The 21,028-nt window shown below is 37.4% G+C and overlaps 9 annotated features.

Annotated features, from left to right (window-relative positions):
- Window positions 14,445–15,202: an enhancer, noted in NCBI's record as "OCT4-NANOG-H3K27ac hESC enhancer chr6:58773583-58774340 (GRCh37/hg19 assembly coordinates)". NCBI's record gives its function as "activates a minimal SCP1, AML or CMV promoter by ChIP-STARR-seq in naive and primed H9 embryonic stem cells {active_cell/tissue: H9 hESC(naive and primed)}" and the evidence as "EXISTENCE:reporter gene assay evidence [ECO:0000049][PMID:30033119]".
- Window positions 15,203–15,959: an enhancer, noted in NCBI's record as "OCT4-NANOG-H3K27ac hESC enhancer chr6:58774341-58775097 (GRCh37/hg19 assembly coordinates)". NCBI's record gives its function as "activates a minimal SCP1, AML or CMV promoter by ChIP-STARR-seq in primed H9 embryonic stem cells {active_cell/tissue: H9 hESC(primed)}" and the evidence as "EXISTENCE:reporter gene assay evidence [ECO:0000049][PMID:30033119]".
- Window positions 16,751–17,308: an enhancer, noted in NCBI's record as "OCT4-NANOG-H3K27ac-H3K4me1 hESC enhancer chr6:58775889-58776446 (GRCh37/hg19 assembly coordinates)". NCBI's record gives its function as "activates a minimal SCP1, AML or CMV promoter by ChIP-STARR-seq in naive and primed H9 embryonic stem cells {active_cell/tissue: H9 hESC(naive and primed)}" and the evidence as "EXISTENCE:reporter gene assay evidence [ECO:0000049][PMID:30033119]".
- Window positions 17,309–17,864: an enhancer, noted in NCBI's record as "OCT4-NANOG-H3K27ac-H3K4me1 hESC enhancer chr6:58776447-58777002 (GRCh37/hg19 assembly coordinates)". NCBI's record gives its function as "activates a minimal SCP1, AML or CMV promoter by ChIP-STARR-seq in naive and primed H9 embryonic stem cells {active_cell/tissue: H9 hESC(naive and primed)}" and the evidence as "EXISTENCE:reporter gene assay evidence [ECO:0000049][PMID:30033119]".
- Window positions 17,865–18,420: an enhancer, noted in NCBI's record as "OCT4-NANOG-H3K27ac-H3K4me1 hESC enhancer chr6:58777003-58777558 (GRCh37/hg19 assembly coordinates)". NCBI's record gives its function as "activates a minimal SCP1, AML or CMV promoter by ChIP-STARR-seq in naive and primed H9 embryonic stem cells {active_cell/tissue: H9 hESC(naive and primed)}" and the evidence as "EXISTENCE:reporter gene assay evidence [ECO:0000049][PMID:30033119]".
- Window positions 18,421–18,976: an enhancer, noted in NCBI's record as "OCT4-NANOG-H3K27ac-H3K4me1 hESC enhancer chr6:58777559-58778114 (GRCh37/hg19 assembly coordinates)". NCBI's record gives its function as "activates a minimal SCP1, AML or CMV promoter by ChIP-STARR-seq in naive and primed H9 embryonic stem cells {active_cell/tissue: H9 hESC(naive and primed)}" and the evidence as "EXISTENCE:reporter gene assay evidence [ECO:0000049][PMID:30033119]".
- Window positions 18,977–19,533: an enhancer, noted in NCBI's record as "OCT4-NANOG-H3K27ac-H3K4me1 hESC enhancer chr6:58778115-58778671 (GRCh37/hg19 assembly coordinates)". NCBI's record gives its function as "activates a minimal SCP1, AML or CMV promoter by ChIP-STARR-seq in naive and primed H9 embryonic stem cells {active_cell/tissue: H9 hESC(naive and primed)}" and the evidence as "EXISTENCE:reporter gene assay evidence [ECO:0000049][PMID:30033119]".
- Window positions 19,534–20,089: an enhancer, noted in NCBI's record as "OCT4-NANOG-H3K27ac-H3K4me1 hESC enhancer chr6:58778672-58779227 (GRCh37/hg19 assembly coordinates)". NCBI's record gives its function as "activates a minimal SCP1, AML or CMV promoter by ChIP-STARR-seq in naive and primed H9 embryonic stem cells {active_cell/tissue: H9 hESC(naive and primed)}" and the evidence as "EXISTENCE:reporter gene assay evidence [ECO:0000049][PMID:30033119]".
- Window positions 20,090–20,646: an enhancer, noted in NCBI's record as "OCT4-NANOG-H3K27ac-H3K4me1 hESC enhancer chr6:58779228-58779784 (GRCh37/hg19 assembly coordinates)". NCBI's record gives its function as "activates a minimal SCP1, AML or CMV promoter by ChIP-STARR-seq in naive and primed H9 embryonic stem cells {active_cell/tissue: H9 hESC(naive and primed)}" and the evidence as "EXISTENCE:reporter gene assay evidence [ECO:0000049][PMID:30033119]".

Here is a 21,028-nt window from a genome sequence, read left to right on the forward strand (position 1 = left end):
GTGAAAAAGAAAATATCTACAGATAAAAAGTAGAAAGAAGCTTTATGAGGAACTGCTTTGTGATGTGTGCTTTCATCTAGAGAGTTCAACATTCCTTTTGATTCAGCAGTTTGGAAACATGGTTTTTGTCCATTCTGTGAATGGGCATTTGAGAACTCATTCAGGCTAATGGCAAAAAAGCTAATATCCCAGGATAAAAACTAGAAGGCAGCTATCTGAGAAACCACTTTGTGAGGTGTGCATTCAACTCATGGAGATAAAGTTTCCTTTTCATTCAGCAGTTTGGAAACACTGTTTTTTTAGAATCTGCAAAGGGACATTTGGGAGTGCTTTGAGGCCTATAGTGAAAAAGAAAATATCTTCAGACAAAAAGTAGAAAGAAGCTTTCTGAGAAACTGCTTTGTGATGTGTGCATTTATCACACAGAGGTAAACTTTCCTTTTGATCCAGCAGTTTGGAAACACTGTTGTTGTAGCATCTGCAAAGGGATATTTAGGAACACATTGAGGCCTATGGTGAAATAGAAAATATCTTCCAATAGAAACTAGACAGAAGCATACTGAGTAATTGCTTTGTGATGTGTGCATTCATCTCCCAGTGTTAAACGTTTCTTTTCATTCACCAGTTTGGAAACAGTGCTTTTGTCCATTCTGTGAATGGGCATTTGGGAGCTCATTGAGGCCAATGGAGATAAATGGAATAGCCCAGGATAAAAACTTCAAGGAAGCTATCTCAGAAACTATTTTGTGATGTGTGCATTGATCTTGCAGAGTTAAAACTTTCCTTACATTCAGCAGTTTAGAAACTGTTTTTGTAGAATCTGCAAAGAGACATTTGGGAGCATTTTGAAACCTATGGTGAAAAAGAAAATATCTTCAGATAAAAACTGAAGGAAGCTTTCTGACAAACTGCTTTGTGATAGGTGCTTTCATCTCATGGAGTTAAACTTTTCTTTTGATTCAATAGTTTGGAAACATTGTTTTTTTTCATTCTGTGAATGGATATTTGGGAGCTCATTGAGGCCAAGGCAGAAAAAGGGAATACCCCAGGATAAAAACTACAAGGAAGCTATCAGAGAAACAGCTTTGTGATGTTTGCATTCCGCTTGCAGAGTTAAACCTTTCTTTTTATTCAGCAGTTTGGAAACATTGTTTTTCTAGAATCTGCGAAGGGATATTTTGGAGTGCTTTGAGAACTACAGTGAAAAAGAAAATATCTTAAGGTAAAGAGTAGAAGAAGTTTTGTGAGAAACTGCTCTGTGGTGGCTGTATCCATCTAACAGAGTTAAACATTATTTTTGATCCAGCAGTTTGGAAACACTGATTTTGTAGAATCTGTGAAGGGATATTTTGGAGCACATTGAGGCCTATGGTGAAAAAGAAAATATCTTCAAATAGAAACTAAACAGAAGCTTTCTGAGAAACTGCTTTGTGGTGTGTGCTTTCATCTAACAGAGTTAAATGTTTCTTTTGATTCAAGAGTTTGGAAACAGTGTTTTGTCCATTCTGCAAATGGACATTTGGGAGCTCATTGAGGCCAATGGTGAAAAAGGGAATATACCAGGATAAGAAGTAGAAGGAAGCCATTTGAGAAACCACGGTGTGAAGTCTGCATTCATCTTGCAGACATAAATATTTCCTTTCATTCAACAGTTTGTAAACACTTTTTTTGTAGGATCTGCAAAGGGATATTTTGGAGCACTTTGAGCCCTTGGTGAAAAAGAAAATATTTTCAGATAAGAAGTAGAAAGAAGCTTTCTGAGAAACTAATTTCTGATGTGTGCATTCATCTCACATAGCTAAACTTTTTTTTTATCCATTAGATTGGAAACAGTATTTTTGTCATTCTGTGAATGGATATTTAGGAGCTCCTTTAGGCTGATAGAGAGAAAGCGAATATCCCAGGATAAAAACTGGAAGGAAGCAATCTGAGAAAACCCCTTTGTGACGTTTGCATTCATCTCACAGAGTTAAAACTTTCTTTTCATTCAGCAGACAGGAAAATATGTTTTTGTAGGATCTGCTAAGGGATATTTTGGAGTGCATTGGGGCCTATGGTGAAAAAGAAAATACTTTAAGATAAAAAAGTACAAAGAAGCTTTCTGAGAAACTGCTTTCTGATGTGTACATTTATCTCACAGAGTTAAACTTTCTTTGGATACAGCAGTTTGGAAACACTGTTTTTGTCCATTCTACGAATGGGCATTTTGGCACTCATTGAGGCCAATGGTGAAAAAGCAAATTTCCCTGGATAAAACCAGAAGGAAACTATCTGAGAAATGGCTTTGTTATGGGGGCATTCATCTCACACACCTAAACCTTTCTTCTCATTCAGCAGTTTGGAAACACTGTTTTTGTAGAATCTGTGAAGGGATATTAGGGAGCGTATTGAGGCCTATGGTGAAAAAGAAAATATCCTCAGATAAAAAGTAGAAAGAAGCTTTCAGAGAAACTGCTTTGTGAGGTGTGAACTCATCTCCCAGTGTTAAACCTTTCTTCTGATTCAGCAGTTTGGAAACCCGTTTTTGTCCATTCTGTGAATGGAAATTTGGGAGCTCATTGAGGCCAGTGGCAAAAAGATGAATATCCCAGGATAAAAACTAGAAGGAAGCTATCAGAGAAACAGCTTTGTGATGTCTGCATTCATCTCACAGAGTTAAATCTTTCTTTTCCTTCAGCAGTTTGGAAAAACTGTTTTTGTAGAAACTGTGAATGGATATTTGAAAGCTCATCAAGTTCTATGGCAAAAAAGAAATTATCCTCAGATAAAAAGAAGAAAGAAGCTTTCTGAGAAACTGTTCTGTGATGTGTACGTTCATCTCACAGAGTTAAACCTTTCTATTCATTCAGCAGTTTGGAAACACTGGCTTTGTTATTTCTGTGAAAGACATTATGGAGCTCATTGAGGCCAAAGGCATAAAAGTGAATATCTCAGGATAAAAATGAGACTATCTGAGAAACCACTTTGTGATGTGTGCATTCATCTTGAAGAGTAAAACGATTCTTTTCATTCAGCAGTTTGGAAATGCTGTTTTTGTAGAATCTGTTAAGGGATATTTCCGAGTGCCTAGAGGCCTATGGTGAAAAAGAAAATATCAGATAAAAACTAGAATGAAGCTTTCTGAGAAACTGCTTTGTGATGTGTGAATTCATCTCATAGAGTTAAGCCTTTCTTTTGATTCAACAGTTTGAAAAGACTGTTTTTGTCCATTCTGTGAATGGACATTTGGGACCATACTGAGGCCAATGGAGAAAAAGCAAATATTCCAGGATAAACACTAGAAGGAAGCTGAGAAACTGCTTTGTGATGTGTGCATTAATCTTGCAGAGTTAAACCTTTCTTTTCATTCAGCAGTTTAGAAACACTGTTTTTGTAGAACCTCCAAAGGGATATTTGGGACCCCATTGAGACCTATTGTGAAAAAGTAAATATGTTCTTATAAAAACTAGAAAGAAGCTTTCTGAGAAACTGCCTTGTGATGTGTGCATGTGTCTCACAGAGTTAAAACTTTCTTTTCATTCAGCAGTTTGGAAACACTGTTTTTGTGGAATCTCTGAAGGGATATTTCAGAGCACATTTAGGCCTATGGTGAAAAAGAAAACATCTTCAAATAAAAACAAGACAGAAGCTTTCTGAGAAACTGCTTTTTGATGTGTGCATTCAGCTCACGGTGTTAAACTTTTCTTTTCATTCAACAGTTTGGAAACAGTGTTTTTGTTCATTCTGCAAATGGACATTTGGGAGTTCATTGACACCAATGGAGAAAAGCAAATATCCCAGGATAAAAACTTCAAGGAAACTATCTGAGAAACTGCTTTGTGATGTATGCATTCATCTCACAGAGGTAAACCTTTCCTTACGTTCAGCAGTTTGGAAACACTGTTTTTGTAGAACCTGTGAAGGTATATTTGGGATCCCCTTGAGGCCTATGGTGATAAAGTCAATATCTTCTTATAAAAACTAGAAAGAAGGATTCTGAGAAACTGCTTTGTGATGTGTGCATTCATCTCACAGAGTTTAACCATTCTTTACATTCAGCAGCTTGGAAACACGGTTTTGTAGAATCTGTGCAGGGATATTTCAGAGAGCTTTGAGGCCTATGATAAAAAAGAAATATCTTCAAATAATAACTAGACAGAAGCTTTCTGCGAAACTGCTTTGTGATGTTTGCTTTCATCTCACAGAGTTAAAATTTCCTTTGGTTTCAATAGTTTGGAAACACAGTTTTTGTTCTTTCTGCCAATGGCCATTTAGGAGATCATCGAGGCCAAAGGAGAAAAAGCAAATATCTCAGGATAAAAAATTCAAGGAAGCTATGTGAGAAACTGCCATGTGATGTTTGCATTCATCTCACAGAGTTAAACCTTTCTTTTCATTCAACAGTTTGGAAACACTGTTTTTGTTGAATCTGCAAAGGGATATTTCAGAGCCCAAAGCGTCCTATGTTGAAAAGGTAAATATCTTCATATAAAAACTAGAAAGAAGCTTTCTTAGACACTGCTTTGTGATGTGTGTATTCATCTCACAGAGTTAATCCTTTCTTTTGATTCAATGGTTTAGAAACACTGTTTTTGTCCATTCTGCAAAGGTATAATTGGGGGAGCATTGAGGCCTAATATGAAAAAGAAAATATCTTCAGATAAAAACAAGAAAGAAGCTTTAAGAGAAACTGCTTTGTGATGTGTGGCTTCATCTCACAGAGTTAATCCTTTCTTTTGACCCAACACGTTGGAAACACTGTTTTTGTCCATTCTGCAAAGGGATATTTAGGAGCACCTTGAGGCCTAAGGTGAAAAAGAAAATATCTTCAGATAAAACTAGAAAGATGCTTCTGAGAAACAGCTCTGTGATGTGTGCATTCATCTCACAGAGTTAAACGTTTGCTTTCTTTCAGCAGTTTGGAAACACTGTTTTTGTAGAATCTGCAAAGGGATAATTTGGAGCCCAATGAGGCCTATGGTGAAAAAGGAAATAATTTCAAATAATAACTAGACAGAAGGTTTTTGTGAAACTGCTTTGTGATGTCTACTTTCATCTCACAGAATTAAAATTTTCTACTTTTCCAACAGTTTGGAAACACTGTTTTTGTCCATTCTGTGACAGGACATTTGGGAGCTCGTTTAGGCCAAAGAAGGAAAAGAGAATACCCAAGGATAAAAAATACAAGGAAGCCATCTGAGAAACGGATTTGTGAGGTGCACATTCATCTAGCTGAGTTAAACCTTTCTTTTCATTCAGGAGTTTGGAAACCCAGTTTGTGTAGTATCTGCAAATGGATATTTGGGAGCCCATCGTGTCCTTTGGTGAAAAAGTAAATATCTTCATATAAAAACTAGAAAGAAGCGTTCTGAGAAACTGCTTTGTGATGCGTGCATTCAACTCACAGAGTTAAACCTTTCTTTTGATCCAGCAGTTTTGAAACACTGTTTTTGTAGTATCTGCAAAGGGATATTTTGGAGTGCATTGAAGCCTACACTAAAAAAGAAAATATCATCAAATAAAAACTAGACAGAAGCTTTCTGAGAAACTGTTTTGTGAAGTATGAATTCAACTCACAGAGTTAATCCTTTATTTTGATTCAACAGTTTTGAAACACTCTTTTTGTCCATTCTGCAAAGGGATATTTGGGAGTACATTGAGTCCTATGGAGAAAAAGAAAATATCTTCAGATCAAAAGTAGAAAGAAGCTTTCTGAGAAACTGCATTGTGATGTGTGCATTCATCTTATGGAGTTAAAACTTTCCTTTGTTTCAACAGTTTGGAAACACTGTTTTTGAGCATTCTGCCAATGGCCATTTGGGAGATCATTGAGGCCAATGAAGAAAAATTGAATATCCCAGGATAAAAACTTCAATGAAGCTATTTGAGAAACCACTTTGTGATGTGTGCATTCATGTCACATAGTTAAACCTTTCCTTACATTCAGCAGTTTGGAAACACTGTTTTTGTAGAACCTGTGAAGAGATATTTGGGAGCCTATAGCATCCTATGGTGAAAAAGTAAATATCTTCATATAAAACTTGAAAAAAGCATTCTGAGAAAGTCCTTCATGATGTGTGCATTCATCTCAAAAAGTTAAACCTTACTTTTGTTCCAGTACTTTGGAAACACTGTTTTTGTAGAATCTGCATATGGATTTTTCAGAGTGCATTCAGGCCTACGGTGAAAAAGAAAATATCTTGAAGTGCAAACTAGACAGAAGCTTTCTGAGAGGCTGCTTTTTGATGTGTGCATTCATCTCACAGAGTTAATCCATTCTTTAGTTCAAAAGTTTTGAAACACTGTTTTTGTCCATTCTGGGAAGGGATATTTGGGAGCCCATTGAGGCCTATGGTGAAAAGAAAATATCTTCAGATAAAAATTAGAAAGAACCTCTCTGGGAAACTGCTCTGTGATGGGTGCATTCAACTCACAGAGTTAAAAGTCTCTTTTGATCCCGCAGTTTGGAAACTGTCTTTGTAGTATCTGCAAAGGGATATTTGGGAGCCCATTGAGGCCTATAGTGAAAAAGAAAATATCTTCAGATAAAAACTAAAAAGGGGCTTTATGAGAAACTGCTTTGTGATGTATGCATTCATCTCACAGAGTTAAAACTTTCTTTTTATTCAGCAGTTTGGAATCACTTCTTTTGTAGAATCTTTGAAAGGATATTTCAGAGTGCATTGAGGCCTATGTAAAAAAGGGAATATCTTCAAATAATAGCTAGACAGAAGCTTTCTGAGAAACTGCTTTGTGATGGGTGCATTCATCTCACAGTGTTAATCCTTTCTTTTGATTCAACTGTTTTGAAAAGCTGTTTTTATTCATTCTGTGAAGGGATATTTGGGAGCGCATTGAAGCCTATGGTGAAAAACAAAATATCTTCAGATAAATACCAGAAAGAAGCTTTCTGGGAAACTGCTTTATGATGTGTCATTTCATCTCACAGAGTTAAATATTTCTTTTCATACAGGAGTTTGGAAATACTCTCTTTCTCCTCTCCATTCTGTGAATGGACATTTGGGAGCTCTTTGAGGCCAGTGGAGAAATAGCGAATATCCTAGGATAACAATTTCAAGGAAGCTATCTGAGAAATGGCTGTGTGATGTGTGCATTCATCTTGGAGAGTTAAAACTTTCTTTACATTCAGCAGTTGTGAAACACTGTTTTTGTAGAATCTGCAAAGGCATATTTGGGAGCCCATTGAGGAAATGGTGAAAAAGTAAATATCTTCATATAAAAACTAGAAAGAAGCTTTATGAGAAACTGCTCTTTGATCTGCGCATTCATCTCACAGAGGTAAACCTTTCTTTTCATTCAGCAGTTTGGAATCGCTGTATTAGTAGAATCTATGCAGGGATATTTCAGAGCACATTGAGGCCTACTGTGAAAAAGGAATTATCTTCAAATTATAACTAGACAGAAGCTTTCTGAGAAACTGCTTTGTGATGTCTGCTTTCACCTCAAAGAGTTAAAACTTTCTTTTGTTTCAGCAGTTTGGAAACACTGTTTTTGTCCATTCTATGAATGGACATTTGGGAGCTAATTGAGGCCAAAGAAGGAAAAGCAATTATCCCAGGATAAAAACTACAAGGAAGCCATCTGAGAAACTGATTTGTGATGTGTGCATTAATCTCACAGAGTTGAACATTTCTTTTCATTCAGTAGTTTTGAAACCCTATTTTGGTAGAATCTGTGAAGGGATATTTGGGAGTACATTGAGTCCTATGGTGAAAAAGTAAATATCTTCATATAAAAACTAGAAAGAAACCTTCTGAGAAACTGCTTTGTGATGTCTGCTTTCATCTCACGTAGTGCAACCTTTCTTTTGATCCAGCAATTTGGAAACACTGTTTTTGTAGAATCTGCAAAAGGATATTTAAGAGCACATTGAGGCCTATGGTGAAAATGAAAATATCTTCAAATAAAAACTAGAGAGAAGCTTTCTGAGAAACTACATTGTGATGTGTGCATTCTTCTCACAGAGTTAAACCTTTCTTTTCATTCAGTAGTTTGGAAAGACTGTTTTTTTAGAGTCTGCGAAGGGATATTTGGGAGTGCAATTAGACCTATTGTGTAGAAGAAAATATGTTAAGATAAAAAGTAGAAAGAAGGTTTCTGAGAAACTGCTGTGTGATGTGGGCATTCACCTCACAGACTTAAACTTTTCTTTTGATCCAACAGTTTGGAAACACTGTTTTTCTAGAATCTGCAAACGGATATTTCAGGGCACATGGAGGCCTATGGTGAAAAAGGAAATATCTTCAAATAATAACTAGACAGAAGCTTTCTGAGAAACTGCTTCGTGATGTGTGCTTTCATCTCACACAGTTAAAACTTTCTGTTGTTTCAACAGTTTGGAAATACTGTTTTTGTCCATTCTGCCAATGGCCATTTTGGAGATCTTTGAGGCCAAAGGAGAATAAGGGAATATCCAAAGATAAAAAATTCAAGGAAGCTACGTGAGAAACTACTCTGTGATGTGTGCATTCATCTAGCACAGTTAAACCTTTCTTTTCATTCAGCAGTTTGGAAACCCTGTTTTTGTAGAATTTGTGAAGAGATATTTGAGAGCCCATTGATTCCGATGGTGAAAAAGTATATATCTTCATATAAACACTATAAAGAAGCTTTCTGAGAAACTGCTTTGTCATGTGTGCATTCATCTCAAAGAGTTAAACCTTTCTTTTGATCTAGCACTTTGGAAACACTGTTTTTGTAGCATCTGTGAAGGGATATTTCAGAATGCATTGAGGCCTATGGTGAAAAAAATATATCTTCAAATAAAAACTGGACAGAAGCTTTCTGACAGACTGCTTTGTGATGTATGCATTCATGTCACAGAATTAATTCTTTCTTTTGATTCAACAGTTTTGAAACCCTGTTTTTGTCCATTCCTCTAAGGCATATTTGGGAGCACATTGAGGCCCATGGTGAAAAAGAAAATATCTTCAGATAAAAGCTAGAAAGAAGCTTTCTGAGAAACAACTTTGTGATTTGTGGTTTCATCTCACAAACAGAAACATTTCTTTTCATTCAGCATTTGCAAACACTGTTTTTGTCCATTCTGCGAATGGACATTTGGGAACTCATTGAGGCCAGTGGAGGAAAAGTGAATATCCCAGGATAGAAACTTAAAGGAAGGTATCTGAGAAACTGCTTTGTGATGTGTGCATTCATCTCACAGAGTTAAACCTTTCCTTACATACAGCAGTTTAGAGATCCTGTTTCTGTAGAACCTGCAAAGGGATATTTGGGAGCCTTTGAAGCCTATAGTGAAAAAACAAATATCTTCTTATAAAAACTACCAGGAAGCTTTCTGAGAAACTGCTTTGTGATGTGAGCAATCATCTCACAGACTTAATCCTTTCTTTTGATCCAGCAATTTGGAAACACTGTTTTTGTAGAATCTGCAAAAGGATATTTCAGAGTGCTTTGAGGCCAATTGTGAAAAAGGAAATATCTTCAAATAATAACTAGACAGAAGCTTTCAGAGAAACTGCTTTGTGATGTGTGCTTACATCTCACAGAGTTAAAACTTTCTTTTGTTTGAACAGTTTGTAAACACTGTTTTTGTCCATTCTGCAAATGGGCATTTGTGAGGTCACTGAGGCCATAGAGGAAAAGTGAATATCCCAGGATAAAAACTACAGGGAAGCTATCTGAAAAACCCATTTGTGATGTGTGCATTCATCTCACAGAGTTAAATCTTTCTTTTCATTCAGCAGTTTGGAAACCCTGTTTTTGTATAATCTGTGAAGAGATATTTTGGAGCCCATTGAGTCTGATGGTGAAAAAGTAAATATCTTCATATAAAAACTAGAAAGAAGCTTTCTGAGAAACTGCTTTGTCATGTTTGCATTCATCTCACAGAGTTAATCATTTCTTTTGATTCAACAGTTTTGAAACACTGTTTTTGTCCATTCTGTAAAGGATTATTTGGGAGCTCGTGGAGGCCTATGGTGAAAAAGGAAATATCTTCAAATAATAACTAAGCACAAGCTTTCTGAGAAACTGCTTTGTGATGTGTGATTTCATCTCACATATTTAAAACATTCTTTTGTTTCAACAGTTTGGAAACACTGCTTTTGCCATTCTGCCAATGGTCATTTGGGAGATCATTGAGGCCAATGGAGAAAAAGGGAATATCTCAGGAAAAAAAACTTCAAGGAAGCTATGTGAGAAAAGTTTTGTGATGTGTGCATTTATCTCCCTGAGTTAAACCTTCTTTTGATTCAGCAGTTTTTAAACACTATTTTTGTAGAAACTTCGAAGGGATATTTCAGAGCCCATTGGGTCCTACGGTGAAAAAGTAAATATCTTCATATAAAAACTTGAAAGAAGCTTTCTGAGAAACTGTGATGTGTTCTTTTGTCTCACAGAGTTAAGCGTTTCTTCTCATTCAGCAGTTAGGAAACACTGTTTTTGTCCATTCTGCAAATAGAAATTTGGGAGCTCATTGAGGCCAATGGAGAAAAAGAGAATATCCCAAGATAAAAACTTCAAGGAAGCTATCTGAGAAACCACTTTGTGATGTGTGCATTCATCTTGCACAGTTAAACCTTTCCTTATATTCAGCAGTTTGGAGCCACTGTTTTTGTAGAATCTGTGAACAGATATTTTGGAGCACATTGATGCCTATGATGTAAAAGAAAATATCTAAAGATAAAAAGTAGAAAGAAGGATTCTGAGAAACTGCTCTGTGATGGGTGCATTCACCTCACAGAGTTAAACCTTTCTTTTGCTCCAGCAGTTTGGAAACACTGCTTTTGTAGAATCTGTGAAGGTATATTTTGGAGCATATTGAGGGCTATGGTGAAAAAGGAAATATCTTCAAATAATAACTAGACAGATTCTTTCTGAGAAACTGCTTTGTGACGTGTGCTTTCATCTCACAGGGTTAAAACTTTCTTTTGTTTCAACAGTTTGGAAACACTGTTTTTGTAGAATCTGTTAAGGAATATTTTGAAGTGCTTTGAGGCCTATGGTGAAAAAGAAAATATCTTCAAATAAAAACTATAAACAAGCTTTCTGATAAGCTGGTTTGTGATGTGTGCATTCAACTCACAGAATTAAAACTTCCTTTTGATTCAACAGTTTGGAAACACTGTTCTTGTCCATTCTACAAATGGACATTTGGGAGATCATTGAGGCCAATGCAGAAAAAGCGAATATCACAGAATGAAAACCACAAAGAAGCGGTCTGAGAAACCGCTTGGTGAGGTGTGCATTCATCTCACACTGTTACACATTTCTGTTCATTCAGCAGTTTGGAAACACTGTTTTTATAGAATCTGTGAAGGGATATTTGGAGCGCATTGAAACCTATAGTGAAAAAAAAATCTGAAGTTAAAAAGTAGACAGAAGCTTTCTGAGAAACTGCTCTCTTAGGGGTCCATTCACCTCACAGTGTTGAACCTTTCCTTGGTCCAGGAGTTTGGAAACACTGTTTTTGTAGAATCTGTTAAGGGATAACTCAGAGTGCAATGAGGACTATGGTGTAAAAGAAAATATCTTCAAACAAAAAGTAGAGAGAAGCTTTCTGGAAACTGCTTTGTGATGTGTGCTTTCATCTCACAGAATTAATCCTTTCTTTTGATTCAACAGTTTTGAAACAATGTTTTTGTCCATTAGGTGAATGGATATTTAGGTGCTCATTGAGGCCAATGGAGAAAAAGGGAATATCACAGGATAAAAACTCCAAGGAAGCTATCTGAAAAGCAGCTTTGTGATGGGTGCATTCGTGTCACAGAGTTAAACCTTACTTTTCATTCAGTTGTTTGGAAACACTGTTTTTGTAGAATCAGTGAGGGGATATTTGGGAGTGCATTGAGACCTATGGTTGAAAAAGAAAATATCTTTTTTTTTTTTATTATTATACTTTAAATTTTAGGGTACATGTGCACATTGTGCAGGTTAGTTACATATGTATACATATGCCATGCTGGTGCGCTGCACCCACTAACTCGTCATCTAGCATGAGGTATATCTCCCAAAGCTATCCCTCCCCCCTCCCCCAACCCCACAACAGTCCCCAGAGTGTGATGTTCCCCTTCCTGTGTCCATGTGAACTCATTGTTCAATTCCCACCTATGAGTGAGAATATGTGGTGTTTGGTTTTTTGTTCTTGCCATAGTTTACTGAGAATGATGATTTCCAATTTCACCCATGTCCCTACAAAGGACATGAACTCATCATTTTTGATGGCTGCATAGTATTCCATGGTGTACATGCGCCACATTTTCTTAATCCAGTCTATCATTGTTGGACATTTGGGTTGGTTCCAAGACTTTGCTATCATGAACAGTGCCGCAATAAACATACATGTACTTGTGTCTTTATAGCAGCATGATTTATAGTCCCTTGGGTATATACCCAGTAATGGGATGGCTGGGTCAAATGGTATTTCTAGTTCTAGATCCCTGAGGAATCACCACACTGACTTCCCCAGTGGTTGAACTAGTTTACAGTCCCACCAACAGTGTAAAAGTGTTCCTATTTCTCCACATCCTCTCCAGCACCTGTTGTTTCCTGACTTTTTAATGATTGCCATTCTAACTGGTGTGAGATGGTATCTCATTGTGGTTTTGATTTGCATTTCTCTGATGGCCAGTGATGATGAGCATTTTTTCATGTGTTTTTTGGCTGCATAAATGTCTTCTTTTGAGAAGTGTCTGTTCATGTCCTTCACCCACTTTTTGATGGGGTTGTTTTTTTTTCTTGTAAATTTGATGCCAATGCCTTTCTTCACAGAATTGGAAAAAACTATTTTAAAGTTCATATGGAACCAAAAAAGAGCCTGCATTGCCAAGACAATCTTAAGCCAAAAGAACAAAGCTGGAGGCATCACACTACCTGACTTCAAACTATACTACAAAGCTACAGTAACCAAAACAGCATGGTACTGGTACCAAAACAGAGATATAGATCAATGGAACAGAACAGAGCCCTCAGAAATAACGTCACATATCTACAACTATCTGATCTTTGACAAACCTGACAAAAACAAGCAATGGGGAAAGGATTCCCTATTTCATAAATGGTGCTCAGAAAACTGGCTAGCCATATGTAGAAAGCTGAAACTGGGTCCCTTCATTACAACTTATACAAAAATCAATTCAAGATGGATTAAACACTTAAACGTTAGACTTAAAACCATAAAAACCCTAGAAGAAAACCTAGGCAATACCATTCAGGACATAGGCATGGGCAAGGACTTCATGTCTAAAACACCAAAAGCAATGGCAACAAAAGCCAAAATTGACAAATGGGATCTAATCAAACTAAAGAGCTTCTGTACCACAAAAGAAACTACCATCAGAGTGAACAGGCCACCTACAAAATGGGAGAAAATTTTCACAACCTACTCATCTGACAAAGGGCTAATATCCAGAATCTACAATGAACTTAAACAAATTTACAAGAAAATATCTTAACATAAAAAGTAGAAGGAAGCTTTTTGAGAAACTGCTCTGTGATGGGTGCATTCACCTCACAGATTTAAACCTTTCTTTGGATTCAGGAATTTTGAAACACTGTTTTTGACCATCCTGTGAATGGGCATTTGGTAGCTGATTGAGGCCACTGGCAAAAAACAAATATCCCAGGATAAATATTAGAAAGATGCTATCTGAGAAACCACTTTGTGATGTGTGCATTCATCTCACAGAATTAAAACTTTCTTTTGATTCAACAGTTTTGAAACATTGTTTTTCTCCATTCTGTGAATAGATATTTGGGAGTTAATTGAGGCCATTGGAGAAAAAGGGAATATCCCAGGATAAAAACTTCTAGGAAGATATCTGAGATACTGTTTTGTGATGTGTGAATTTTTCTCATAGAGTTAAACCTTTCCTTATATACAGCAGTATGAAAAGAGTGTTTTGTATATTTTTCAAAGGAATATTTGGGAGCCCACTGAGGTCTATAGTGAAACACTAAATATCTTCATATAAAAACTAGAAAGAAGCTTTATGTAAAACTTCATGTGATGTGTGAATTCATCTCACAGAGTTAAAATTTTCTTTTCATTCAGCATTTTGGAAACACTGTTTTTGTAGAATCTGTGAAGGGATAATTAGGAGTGCATTGAGGCCTACGGTGAAAAAGTAAATATCTTCAATTAATAACTAGACAGAAGCTTGCTGAGAAACTGCTTTGTGATGTCTGCTTTCATCACACAGAGTTAAAACGTTCTTTTGTTTCAACAGTTTTTAAACACTGCTTTTTCCATTCTGTGAATGAACATTTTGGAGCTCTTTGAGATCAATGGAGGAAAAGCAAATATCCCAGGATAAAAACTATATGGAAGTAATCTGAGAAACTGATTTGTGATGTGTGCATTTATCTCGCACATTTAAACTTTTCTTTTCATTCAGCAGTTTGGAAAACCCTTTTTGTAAAATCTGCAAAGCGATATTTGGGAGACAATTGAGTCCTACGGTGAAAAAGTAAATATCTTCACATAAATACTGGAAAGAAGCTTTCTAAGAAACTGAAACACTCTTCTTGTAGAAGCTGCAAGTGGATATTTGGACCTATTTGAGGCCTTCGTTGGAAACGGGATTTCTTCATATAACTCTAGATAGAAGAATTCTCAGAAACTCCTTTGTGATGTGTGCATTCAACTCACAGAGTGAAACCTTCCTTTTGACAGAGCAGTTTTGAAACACTGTTTTTGTAGGATTTCCAAGGGGATATTTAGAGCGCCCTGAAGCCTACGGTAGAAAAAGAAACATCTTCATATAAAAACTAGACAGAATAATTCTCAGAATCTGCTTTGCGATGTGTGCGTTCAACACACAGAGTAAAACGTTTCTTTGGATAGAGCAGTTTTGAAACACTCTTTTTTCAGTATTTGCAAGTGTATATTAAGAGCGCATTGAAGCCCACGGTAGAAAAGGAAATATCTTCACCTAAAACCTAGACAGAAGCAATCTCAGAAACTAATTTGGGATGTGTGCATTCAACTCACAGAGTGGAACTTTCCTCTTTATAGAGCAGTGTTGAAACACTCTTTTTGTAGAAACTGCCAGTGGATATTTGGACCTCTTTGAGGCCTTCGTTGGAAATGGGATTTCTTCACATATCCCCAGACAGAAGAATTTTCTGAAACCTCATTGTGATGTGTGCGTTCATCTCACCGAGTGGAGACTTCCTTTTATTAGAGAACTTTTGAATCCCTATTCTTGTAGGATTTACAAGTGGAAATTTAGACCACTTTGAAGCCTATGATAGAAAAGGAAACATCTTCATGGAAAACATAGATAGAATCATTCTCAGAAACAACTTTGTGATGTGTGCGTTGAACTCACAGACTTTATCCTTTCTTTTGGTAGAGAAGTTTTGAAACACTCTCTTTGTAAACTCTAGGAGTGGATATTTTGAGCCCTTGGAGGCATTCTTTGGAAAAGGGAATGTCTTCACATAAAAGGCAGACAGAAGTGTTCTCAGAAACTGCTTTGTGATGTCTGCGTTCAACTCACAGAGTTTAACATTTCCTTTGATATAACAGTTTAGAAACACTCTTTGTAGAATTTGGAAGTGTATATTAAGAGCGCTTTGAGACCTATGGTAGAAAAGTAAATATCTTTCCATAAAAGCTGGAGAGAAGAAATCTCAGAAACTCCTTTGTGATGTCTGCATTCAACACACCAAGTGGAACATTCCTCTTGATAGAGCAGTTTGGAAACAATCTTTCTGTAGAATATGCTAGTGGATATTTGGACCTCCTTGAGGCCTTCCTTGGAAAGGGGATTTTTTTCATATAAACCCATACAGAAGAATTCTCAGAAACTTCGTTGTGATGCGTGCATTCAACTCACCGAGTTAAACATTTCTTTTGATTGAGCAGTTTCCAAACACTCTTTTGTAGAATTTGCAAGGGTACATTTAGAGCGCATTCAGTCCTATGGTACAAAAGGAATTATCTTTCCATAAAAGCTAGACAGAAGCAATCTCAGAAACTCCTTTGTGATGTCTGCATTCAAGTCACTGAGTGGAATATTCCTCTTGATAGAGCAGTTTCGAAACACTGTTTCTGTAGAATCTGCAAGTGGATATTTGGATCTCTTTGAGGCCTTGGTTGGAAAAGGGAATTCTTCCTATAAACCCAGACAGAAGAAGTCTCAGAGACTACTTTGTGATTTGTGAATTCAACTCACAGAGTGGATCCTTCCTTTTGATAGAGCAGTTTTGAAACACTGTTTTTTTAGTATTTCGAAGCGGATATTTGGAGCGCCTTGAAGCCCACGGTAGAAAAGGAAATATCTTTCCATAAAAGCTAGACAGAAGCAATCTCAGAAACTCCTTTGTGATGTCTGCATTCAAGTCACCGAGTGGAACATTGCTCTTGATAGAGTAGTTTGGAAACACTGTTTCTGTAGAATCTGCAAGTGGATATTTGGAACACTTTGAGGCCTTCGTTGGAAACGGGATTTCTTCTTATAAACCCAGACAGAAGAAATCTCAGAGACTTCTTTGTGATGTGTGAATTCAACTCACAGAGTGGATCCTTCCTTTTGATAGAGCAGTTTTCAAACACTGTTTTTATAGTATTTCCAAGGGGATATTTGGAGCGCCTTGAAGCCTATGGTAGAAAAGGAAATATCTTCCCATAAAACCTAGACAGAAGCAATCTCAGAAACTACTATGTGATGTCTGCATTCAACTCACAGAGTGGAACATTCCTCTTGATAGAGCAGTTTTGAAACCCTCTTTCTGTAGGACCTGCGAGTGGGTATTTGGAACTCCTTGAAGTCTTCGTTGGAAACGGGATTTCTTCATATAAACCTGCAGAGAAGAATTCACAGTAACTTACTCCGATGTGTGCATTCGACTCACAGAGTGGAACATTCCCTTTGATAGAGCAGTTTTGAAACACTGTTTTTGTAGAATTCCCAAGTGGATATTTAGAGCACTTTGAAGACTCTGCTAGAAAAGGAAACATCTTCATGTAAAAACTCGATAGAATCGTTCTCAGAAACTGCTTGTGATGTGTGCGTTCAACTCACAGAGTTTAACGTTTCTTTTGATAGAACATTTCTGGAACCCTCTTTTCGTAGAAGAAGCACGTGGATCTATAGACCAATTGAGGCCTTCGTTGGAAACGGGATTTCTTCATGTTACTCTAGATAGAAGAATTCTCAAACACTGCTATGTGATGTTTGCATTCAAGTCACAGAGTGCAACATTCCTCTTGACAGAGCAGTTGGGAAACACTCCTTTTGTAGAATTTGCAATGGGATATTTGGACTTCTTTGAGGCCTTCGTTGGAAACGGGATTTCTTCGTATAAATCTAGACAGAAGAATTCTCAGAAACTTCTTTGTGATGTGTGCATTCAACTCAGCGAGTGGCACCTTCCTTTGGATACAGCAGTTTTGAAACACTGTTTTTGTAGTATTTCCAAGCGGATATTTAGAGCGCCTTGAAGCCTATGCTAGAAATGGAAATATCTCCCCATAAAACCAAGACAGAAGCAATCTCAGAAACTAATGTGTGATGGCTGCATTCCACACACACGGTGGACCATTTCTCTTGATAGAGCAGTTTTGAAACACTCTTTCTGTAGAATCTGCAAGTGGATAATTGGACCTCCTAGAGGCCTTCGTTGGAAACGGGATTTCTCCATCTAAACCTACAGAGAAGAATTCTCAGTAACTTCATCGGATGTGTGCATTCGACTCACAGAATGGAACATTCCCTTTGATAGAGCAGTTTTGAGACACCGTTTTTGTAGAATTCCCAAGTGGATATTTAGAGCACTTTGAAGTCTCTGCTAGAAAAGGAAACATCTTCATGTAAAAAGTAGATAGAATCGTTCTCAGAAAGTGCTTAGTGACGTGTGCGTTCAACTCACAGAGTGTAACGTTTCTTTTGATAGAGCGTTTCTGAAACACCCTTCTTGTAGTAGCTGCAAGTGGATATTTGGACCTATTGGAGGCCTTCTTTGGAAACGGGATTTCTTCATGTAACTCTAGATTGAAGAATTCTCAGAAACTCCTTTGTGATGTGTGCATTCAATTCAAAGAGTGAAACCTCCCTTTTCACAGAGCAGTTTGGAAACACTGTTTTTGTAGGATTTCCAAGGGGATATTTATAGCGCATTGAGCCTACGGCAGAAAAAGAAACATCTTCCTATAAAAACTAGACAGAATAATTCTCAGAATCTGCTTTGTGATGTGTGCGTTCAACTCATAGAGTAAAACTTTTCTTTTGATAGAGCAGTTTTGAAACACTCTTTTTGTAATATTTGCATGTGTATATTTAGAGCGCATTGAAGCCCACAGTAGAAAAGGAAATAACTTCACCTAAAACCTAGACAGAAGCAATCTCAGAAACTACTTTGTGATGTGTACATTCAACTCACAGAGTGGAACTTTCCTCTTTATAGAGCAGTGTTGAAACACTCTTTTTGTAGAAACTGCAGGTGGATATTTGGACCTCTTTGAGGCCCTCGTTGGAAACGGGATTTCTTCCTATAACCCTAGACAGAAGAATTTTCAGAAACCTCATTGTGATGTGTGCGTTCATCTCACAGAGTGGAGTCTTCCGTTTGATAGAGAAGTTTTGAAACCCTGTTCTTGTAGGATTTCCAAGTGGATATTTAGACCACTTTGAAGCCTATGATAGAAAAGGAAACATCTTCATGGAAAACATAGATAGAATCATTCTCAGAAACAACTTTGTGATGTGTGCGTTGAACTCACCGTCTTTAAACTTTCTTTTGGTAGAGAAGTTTTGAAACACTCTCTTTGTAAAGTCTACAAGTGGATATTTTGAGCCCTTGGAGGCATTCTTTGGAAAAGGGAATGTCTTCACGTAAAAGGCAGACAGAAGTGTTCTCAGAAACTGCTTTGTGATGTCTGTGTTCAACTCACAGAGTTTAACATTTCCTTTGATAGAGCAGTTTAGTAACACTGTCTTTGTAGAATTTGGAAGTGTATACTAAGAGCGCTTTGAGTTCTATGGTAGAAAAGGAAATATCTTTGCATAAAAGCTAGACAGAAGCAATCTCAGAAACTCCTTTGTGATGTCTGCATTCAACTCACCGAGTGGAACATTCCTCTTGATAGAGCAGTTTGGAAACGCTCTTTCTGTAGAATCAGCTTGTTTGTATTTGGACCACCTTGAGGCCTTCGTTGGAAACGGGTTTTCATCTTATAAACCCAGACAGAAGAATTCTCAGAGTCTTCTTTGTGATGTGTGCTTTCAACTCACCGAGATAAAGATTTCTCTTGATAGAGCAATTTGGAAACACTCTTTTTGTAGAATTTGCAAGGGTACCCTGAGAGTGCTTTCAGGCCTATGGTAGAAAAGGGAATATCTTTCCATAAAAGGTAGACAGAAGCAATCTCAGAAACTGCTTTGTGATGTGTGCATTCAACTCACCGAGTGCAACATTCCTCTTGATAGAGCAGTTTGGAAACATTGTTTCTGTAGAATCTGCAAGTGGATATTTGGACCTCTTTGAGGCCTTCGTTGGAAACGGGATTTCTTCCTATAAACCCAGACAGAAGAATTCTCAGAGACTTCTTTGTGATGTGTGAATTCAACTCACAGTGTGGATCCTTCCTTTTGATAGAGCAGTTTTGAAACACTGTTTTTGTAGTATTTCCAAGCGGATATTTGGAACGCCTTGAAGCGTATGGTAGAAAAGGAAATATCTTCTCATAAAACCTAGACAGAACCAATCTCAGAAACGACTTTGTGATGTCTGCATTCAACTCACAGAGTTGAACATTTCTCTTGATAGAGCAGTTTTGAAACCCTCTTTCTGAAGGATCTGCAAGTGGATATTTGGACCTCCTTTGGGTCTTCGTTGGAAACGGGATTTCTTCGTATAAATCTAGACAGAAGAATTCTCCGAAATTTCTTTGGTTGTGTGCACTCAAGTCACAGAGTGGAACCTTCCTTTGGATAGAGCAGTTTGAAACGCTGTGGTTGTAGTATTTCCAAGCGGATATTAGAGCGCCTTGAAGCCTATGGTAGAAAAGGAAATATCTTCCCATAAAACCTAGACGGAAGCAATCTCAGAAACTACTGTGTGATGGCTGCATTCCACACACACGGTGGAACATTTCTCTTGATAGAGCAGTTTTGAAACACTCTTTCTGTAGAATCTGCAAGTGGATAATTGGACCGCCTTGAGGCCTTCGTTGGAAACGGGATTTCTTCATGTTACTCTAGATAGAAGAATTCTCAAACACTACTATGTGATGTTTGCATTCAAGTCACAGAGTGCAACATTCCTCTTGACAGAGCAGTTGGGAAACACTCCTTTTGTAGAATTTGCAATGGGATATTTGGACTTCTTTGAGGCCTTCGTTGGAAACGGGATTTCTTCGTATAAATCTAGACAGAAGAATTCTCAGAAACTTCTTTGTGATGTGTGCATTCAACTCAGCGAGTGGCACCTTCCTTTGGATACAGCAGTTTTGAAACACTGTTTTTGTAGTATTTCCAAGCAGATATTTAGAGCGCCTTGAAGCCTATGCTAGAAATGGAAATATCTCCCCATAAAACCAAGAGAGTAGCAATCTCAGAAACTAATGTGTGATGGCTGCATTCCACACACACGGTGGACCATTTCTCTTGATAGAGCAGTTTTGAAACACTCTTTCTGTAGAATCTGCAAGTGGATAATTGGACCTCCTAGAGGTCTTCATTGGAAACGGGATTTCTCCATCTAAACCTACAGAGAAGAATTCTCAGTAACTTCTTCGGATGTGTGCACTCGACTCACAGAATGGAACATTTCCTTTGATAGAGCAGTTTTGAAACACCGTTTTTGTAGAATTCCCAAGTGGATATTTAGAGCACTTTGAAGTCTCTGCCAGAAAAGGAAACATCTTCATGTAAAAAGTAGATAGAATCATTCTCAGAAAGTGCTGAGTGATGTGTGCGTTCAACTCACAGAGTGTAACGTTTCTTTTGATAGAGCGTTTCTGAAACACCCTTCTTGTAGTAGCTGCAAGTGGATATTTGGACCTATTGGAGGCCTTCTTTGGAAACGGGATTTCTTCATGTAACTCTAGATTGAAGAATTC

Source organism: Homo sapiens, chromosome 6 (assembly GCF_000001405.40).
Source record: "Homo sapiens chromosome 6, GRCh38.p14 Primary Assembly".
NCBI classification, from domain to species: Eukaryota; Metazoa; Chordata; class Mammalia; order Primates; family Hominidae; genus Homo; species Homo sapiens.